Below are 7,970 nucleotides of genomic sequence, written 5' to 3' on the forward strand. Positions count from 1 at the left end.
GATAAGAACTTAGGAAAACAAAAAAGGAAACAGACACTGGGGTCGACTTGAAGGGGGAGGGGTGGCGGAGGGAGTGGAACAGAAAAGATAACTATTGGGTACTGGGCTTAATACCTGTATAATAATCTGTACAACAAACACCTGTGCCACATATTTACCTGTGAAATAAACCTTCACATTTACCCCCAAGCCTAAAATAAAAGTTAAAAAAAGTTTATGAATTGTTTGATTTAAACCTTAAATATTGTTAGGGTTCATTCACTTCTCTTAATAAATTGTAGAGAACATGGTCGTGAAGATCATGGCTGGGAGGGTTAGAATTAGAACTCAGAGCTCCCGAGTCCTTTTGAAATTTTTATCATTACCCTGCCTGATGACAAACACTGCCTTTTTCTGCCATAGAGAGATGCGTTCCTACCTGTCTTATAATGGAAAATGCAATGAAGAAAACAGAAATAAGGAAGAAATGTAATTGCAATACATAATTACAGGCTGTGATTTTTAAATACATATTCATAAATTGAAGCAGTAAGGTAAGATGGCTTTTCTTCTTGCACAACCAGAAAGATGCCATCAACACAATCCACTTTATCTTTTTCTATACATCAAATAAAGAAATAGAAGGTAGATTAACTTTATCAAGATCCCCTATTGCTAGTCTATCTAAAAACACTGTCTAAAAGGTCAGTTATAGCGCTATCTCCCTGACTTTCCATCGTGCTTAATTTTATGATGAACACCTAAGAGAAGTATGATATATTAAAGCACTTTCTCCATTCTTTAAAACATCAAAACACAGTGTTTGGACCATTGATTTTTATCCAAGTGTCCTCTCCTTAGTATTTCAGAAGCTTTATTCAAAAAAAGTAATTGGTAGTTGCAGCCTCTTTATTCTCACAGCTGCCAAATTTCTCTAATCTGGAGTAGATAGTCAACCATCCTTAACAGGTGATTCATAGCAAGGCAAAAAGTGCTATTGGACACCTGGAGAGTGAAGTTAAGTGCAATGTATTGAGCAGCTGAGAACATTTCTTGACAGATTTTGTTTTAGGTAAAAATGTGAGGCATTTTCTTTTAGAGATTTCTGAAAACATATATTGTAAGGGAAAGAAAATCCATATGGTATTGATTTATTTAAATGTTTCAAAAATTAGATATTGGGAAAGCCTCTTGTATTTATATTTTTCTTAGAGAGGGAACATTTTATTTCACCAAGAATAAAAAGAAAAAAAAAGCCTGAAATTCATGTTTAGTTCCAAATTTAAAGTCGGAATTGACATGGTTTTAAAAACATGACCAAACAAAAATAAGTTTGTAGTTTCAAAGAATAATGTACGCTTTAGAATGAAGCAGGCAAGCTGTTTCTCTGGAAGACTCCTTATTCCCTTAGTCAAAACAGAGCAGCAAACAAATAAACAGTAGTAGCACCAAATGGTAGTTGGGTATAAAACTCTACTGAATTTACAGCTTCAGTGATACAAGACTGGATATCAATTCATGGTTTCTTTTTCCTTATATGCAACAAAACAAAAGAACTCTTAACAGGAGTAATGAATCGTCTGGGCTGTAATTGCTATCCTGTTGGTAAGTGTTACTTGCTTACAATGCTTCAGTGTTAGCTGGAATTAGGTTGTACTCTGTAGCCTACTAATCCATACTTATTACTAAACAGAGGAGAAAGGGGGCTATTACCACCTTCCAGAGGTGTTTTTAAAAAGCATCTTTACCCTGGATGCACATCTGAAGTGTTAACCTGGTTTTACCCAGTTTTGAATAATTTTTGTAACTACTAAAAATACAAATGCTTAAGTCTCACAATATGAGGTATAGGGTTATCTTATATAAATAATATTTAGGGATTTGTTATACATCTCAGATATGGCACTGAGAATTTAGAAACACTGATTTTTTCTCATTAGACTTCTTTATCTTTATTACCTTGACCTTTGCTCTCAAAACTTTTCTAATCAAAACCTGTTAATTTTTTTAATCCCCAGCTTTATCGAGGTTTAATTGACAAAATAGATACATTCAACATGTGCAGTGTGATGATTTGGTATATGTATACATTGTAAATTATCACAAATTAATTGGTATATTCATCACCTCACATAGATGCCATTTTTTTGTGTGTGTGCATGCAAGTGTAATAAGGAATGATCTTCCTAGCAATATGACAGTATTATTATAGTCACCATGCTGTATATTAGATCCTCAGAAGTATTCATCTCATAAGTGAAAGTTTTTATGTACCCTTTAACCAATATCTCTTCATTTCCCCTACTCTAGGCCACTGGCAGCCATTGTTCTACTTTCTGCTTCTATGAGTTTTACTTTTTTAGATTCCACATATAAGTGAGATTTTACAGTATTCATCTTTCTGTATCTGGCTTACTTCACTAAAAATAATGTCCTCTAGGTTCATCCATGTTGTCTTAAATGGACTTTCTTCTTTTTAATGGCTTAATAATATTCTATTGTGTATACACATGTATACACACATCACATTTTCTTTATTCAGCTATTGATGGACTTAGATTATTTCTATATCTTGATTATTATACATAATCCTGCAGTGAATATGGGAATGCTGACATCTCTTCAAAATACTGATTTTACTTCTTTTGTATATGCATATAGAAGTGGAAATGCTGGATCATATGGTAGTTCTATTTTTAATTTTTTGAGGAACCTTCACACTTCATGCCCTTCATACTTCATACCCTTCATAAGCACCAAGAGTGTGCAAGGATTCCCTCTTCTCCACATACCCACCAACACATATCTCATCTTTTTGATAATAGCCATGCCAGCAAGTGTGAGTTGATATCTCATTATGGGTTTGATATGTTTTTCTCTAATGATTAGTGATGTTGAGCACATTTTCATAAAGTTGTTGGGCATTTTTATGTCTTCTCTGGAAAAATGTCTGTTCAAGTATTGCTCATTTTTGAAAAATTGGTTTATTAGATATGACGGATAAATATATTATCCCATTACATAGCTTGTCTCTTCACTCTGTTGATTGTTCCATTAGCTGTGTAGAAGGTTTTCAGTTTGAGGTAATGCCACTTGTCTATTTTTGCATTTGCTGCCTGTGTTTTTTATGTCATATCCAAATAAATATGGCCAAGACCCATGTCAATTAGATTTTTTTCCCTATGTTTTCTTCTAGGAGTTTTATAGTTTCAGATCTTACATTTAAGCCTTTAATCCATTTTGAGCTTATTTTTAAAATACGTGGTGTAAAATAAAGGTCAAATTTTATTATTTTGCCTGTGAATATTCACTTGTCCCAATACCATTTATGGAAGAGATTGTCCTCTGCTGTTTGCTTATTCTTGGTGCTGTCATCAAAGATTAGTTGACTGAATATAGTTGGGTTTACTTCTTGGCTCTCTACTTTGTGTCACTGGTCTATTTGTCAGTTATTATGCCAGTACCATACTGTTATGATTACAATAACTTTATACTATAGTTTGAAATCAGGAAGAGTGATGCCTTCAGCTTTCTTCTTATGTTTTTCAAAATTGCTTTGGCTGTTCAGTATCTTTTATGGTTCCATGTACATTTTAGGATCTTCCTTTCTATTTCTGTGAAAATTGCCATTGGAAATGTGATAGGAATTTTGTTGGACTTACAGATTACTTTAGAGAGTGTGGTCATTTTATAATATCAGTTCTCCCTGTCCATAAGCATGGAGTATCTTTCCATTTACTTGTATCTTCTTTAATTTTTTTATCAATGTTTCCTATTTTTCAGTATATAGATTTTTCACCTCATTGGTTAAATGTATTCCTAAATATTTTTTCATGCTATTGCAAATGGGATTTTTCTCTTATTTTTTCAAATAGTTATTAGTGTTAGAAATGCTACTGATTTTTGTATATAAATTTTGCATCCTGCAAATTTACTGAATATATTCTAACAGTTTTTTGGGAGAGACTAGGATTTTCTGTATATGAGATCATGTCATCTGCCAACACACACAATTTAACAAATATTCTGATTTGCATGCCCTTTATTCCTTTTCTTACCCAATTTCTGAATAGGACTTCTAGCTCCATGTTGAGTAGAAGTGGCAAGGGTAGTTACCGTTGTCTTGTTCCTGATCTTAGGGGAACAATTCCTGCCTTCCAGTAAAAAAAAAAAAAATCTCACTTGGTCATGGTGTATGATCCTTTTAACATGCTGTTGAATTTAGCTTGACAGTGTTTTGTTAAAAATGTTTGTATCTATGTTCATCAGGAATATAGCCTCTAATTTTCTTTTCTATATCATTTTTTATATGGCTTAGATATCAGGGTAATGCTGGCCTTGTAGTTTGGAAGTTTTCCCTCCTCTTAAATTTTTTTTGGAAGAGCTTTGTAAGGATTGGTGTTAATTCTTTTTTAAATGCTTGGTAGAGTTTACCTGTGAAGCCATCAGATCCTGAACTTTTCGGTGTTGGAAAGTTGTAAATTACCGAGTCAATCTCCTTATTTGTTTTTAGTCTGTTTAGATTTTCTATTTTTTCATGATTCAATCTTGGTAAATTGTAAATTTCTATGAAGTGATACCTTTTTTCTAAGTTATCCTATTAGCATATAATTGTTAATGGTAGTCTCTTACGATTCTTTGTATTTCTATAGTATCGGTTGTAATGTTTCCCCTTTTACTTATTATGTTATTTATTTCATTCCATTAGTCTAGCTAATGTTTGCCAATTTTGTTCATCTTGTCTAAAAACCAATTCTTAGTTTTCTTGCTCTTTTCTATTGTACTTCTCATCTCTATTTCACTTATTTCTGCTCTGATTGTTATTTTCTTCCTTGTGCTGACTTCAGTCTTAGTTCTTCTTTTTCTAGTTCCTTGAGGTGTCAATTTGGCTTGAGATCTTTCTTTTTTTAACGTATGCATTTATTATTATAAGCTTCCCTCTTTACATGGCTTTTAATGCATCCCATACATTTTGATATGTTCCTTTTCCATTTTCTTTTCTCTTAAGATGCTTTTTTATTTCTCTATTGATTTTTTCTTTAACCCATTGGTTGTTCAGGAGCATTAATGTTTTCTTTCCACATATTTTTGAATTCTTTAATTTTCTTCTTGTTATTCCTTTTTTTTTTTTTTTTTTTTTTTTTAGCTTTAAGTTCCGGGACACAAGCGCAGAGTGGTTTGCTGCACCTATCAACCCATCACCTAGGTTTTAAGCCCTGCATGCATTAGCTATTTGTCCTCATGCTCTCCCTCCCCGGCTCCACACCCCAACAGGCCCTGGTGTGTGTTGTTACCCTCCCTGTGTCTATGTGTTCTCATTGTTGGACTCCCACCTATGAGTGAGAATATATGGTGTTTGGTTTTCTGTTCCTGTGTTAGTTTGCTGAGGATGATGGCTTCCAGCTTCATCCATGTGCCTGCAAAGACATGTTCTCATTCCTTTTTGTGGCTGCATAATATTCCATGGTGTATATGAACCATATTTTCTTTATCCAGTCTATCACTGATGGGCATTTGGGTTGGTTCCATGTCTTTGCTATTGTGAGTAGTGCTGCATAAACGTATGTGTGCATGTATCTTTGTAATAGAATTATTTATATTCCTTTAGGTATATACCCAGAATGGGATTGCTGGGTCAATTGGTATTTCTGGTTCTAGATCCTTGAGGAATTGCCACACTGTCTTCCACAATGGTTGAACTAATTTACATTTCCACCAACAATATAAAAGTGTTCCTGTTTCTCCACAGCCTCGCCAGCATCTGTTGTTTCTTGACTTTTTAATAAATGCCATTCTGACTGGTGCGAGATGGTATCTCATTGTGGTTTTGATTGGCATTTCTCTAATGACCAGCGATGTTGAGTTTTTTTTTTTTTCATGTTTTTGGCTGCATAAGTGTCTTCTTTTGAGAAGTTCCTGTTTATATCCTTTGCCCACTTTCTGATGCAAATTCTGGATATTAGCCCTTTGTCAGATGGATAGATTACAAAAATTTTCTCCAATTCTGTAGATTGCCAGTTCACTCTGATAATAGTTTATTTTGCTGTGCAGAAGCTGTTTAGTTTAATTAGATAACGTTTGTCAATTTCAACTTTTGTTGCAGTTGCTTTTGGTGATTTCATCATAAAATCTTTGTCCATACCTATGTTCTGAATGGCACTGCTAGGTTTTCTTCTAGGGTTTTTATGGGTTTGGGTTTTACTTTTAAGTCTTTAATCCATCAGGAGATAATTTTTATATAAGGTGTAAGGAAGGGGTCCAGTTTCAGTTTTCTGCATATCACTAGCCAGTTTTCCCAGCACCATTTATTAAATAGGGAATTCTTTCCCCATTGCTTGTTTTTGTCAGATTCATTGAAGATCAGTTGGTTGTAGATGTGTGGTCTTATTTTTGAGGTCTCTATTATGTTCCATTGGTTTATATGTCTGTTTTGTTACCAGTACCATGCTGTTTTGGTTACTGTAGCCTTGTAGTATAGTTTGAAGTCTGGTAGTGTGATGCCTCCAGCTTTGTTCTTTTTTCTTATGATTGTCTTGGCTATGTGGGCTCTTTTTTGGTTCCACATGAATTTTAAAGTAGTTTTTTCTGATTCTGTGAAGAATGTAAATGGTAGTTTGATGGGAATAGCATTGAATCTGTAAATTACTTTGGACAGTATGGCCATTTTCATAATATTGATTCTTCCTCTCCATGAGCATGGAATGTTTTTCCATTTGTTTGTGTCCTCTCTTATTTCCTCAAGCAGTGGTTTGTAGTTCTTTTTGAAGGGGTCCTTCACATCTCTTGTTAGCTGTATTCCTACGTGTTTTATTCTCTGTAGAAATTGTGAATGGGAGTTCATTCATGATTTAGCTCTCTGCTTGTCTATTGTGGTTGTAAAGGAATGCTTGAGATTTTTGCACATTGATTTTGTATCTTGAGACTGCTGAAGTTGCTTATCAGATTAAGGAGTTTTGGGGCCAAGAAGATGGGGTTTTCTACATGTAGGATCATGTTGTCTGCAAACAGAGAAAATTTGACTTCCTCTCTACTTATTTGAATGTCTTTTATTTCTCTCTCTTGCCTGATTGCCATGGCCAGAACTTCCAATACAATGTTGAATAGGAATGGTGAGAGAGGACATCTTTGTCTTGTGCCAGTTTTCAAGTGGAATGATTCCAGCTTTTGATCATTCAGTATAATATTGGCTGTGGGTTTGTCATAAATAAATCTTACGTTTTTTTAGCTGTGTTCCATCAATACCTAGTTTGAGACTTTTTAACAGGAAAGGATGTTGGATTTTACTGAAGACTTTTTCTGCATCTGTTGAGATAATCATGTGGTTTTTGTCATGGTTCTGATTATGTAATAGATTACATTTATTGATTTGCCCATGTGGAACCAGCCTTGCATCCCAGGGATGGAGCCGACTTGATCGTAATGGATAAGCTTTTTGATATGCTGCTGGATTTGATACACCAATATTTTATTAAGGGTTTTTGCATCAAAGTTCATCAGGGCTATTGGCCTTAAGCTTTCTTTTTTGTTGTGTCTGCCAGGTTTTGGTATCACGATGATGCTAGCCTCATAAAATGAGTTTGAGAGAAGTCCCTACTTTTCAGTTGTTTGGAATAGTTTCAGCAGGAATGGTACCAGCTCCTCTTTGTACCTCTAGTGAAATTTCGCTATGAATCCATCCGGTCTTGAACTTTTTTGTTTGTTTGTTTTGATTGGTAGGCTATTTAGTGCTGCCTTACTTTCAGAACTTGTTATTGGTCTATTCAGGGACTCCATTTCTTTCTGGTTTAGTCTTGGGACGGTGAATGTGTCCAGGAATTTATTCATTTTTCTAGATTTTCTAGTTTATTTGCATAGAGGTGTTCATAGTATCCTCTGATGCTAGTTTGTATTTCCGTGGGGTCAGTGTTAATATCCCCTTTATCATTTTTTATAGTGTCTATTTGATTCTTCTCTCTTTTTTATCTTTAGGTAATTTTTTTGAGATGGAGTCT

Source organism: Homo sapiens, chromosome 9 (genome assembly GCF_000001405.40).
Source record: "Homo sapiens chromosome 9, GRCh38.p14 Primary Assembly".
Lineage (NCBI taxonomy): Eukaryota > Metazoa > Chordata > Mammalia > Primates > Hominidae > Homo > Homo sapiens.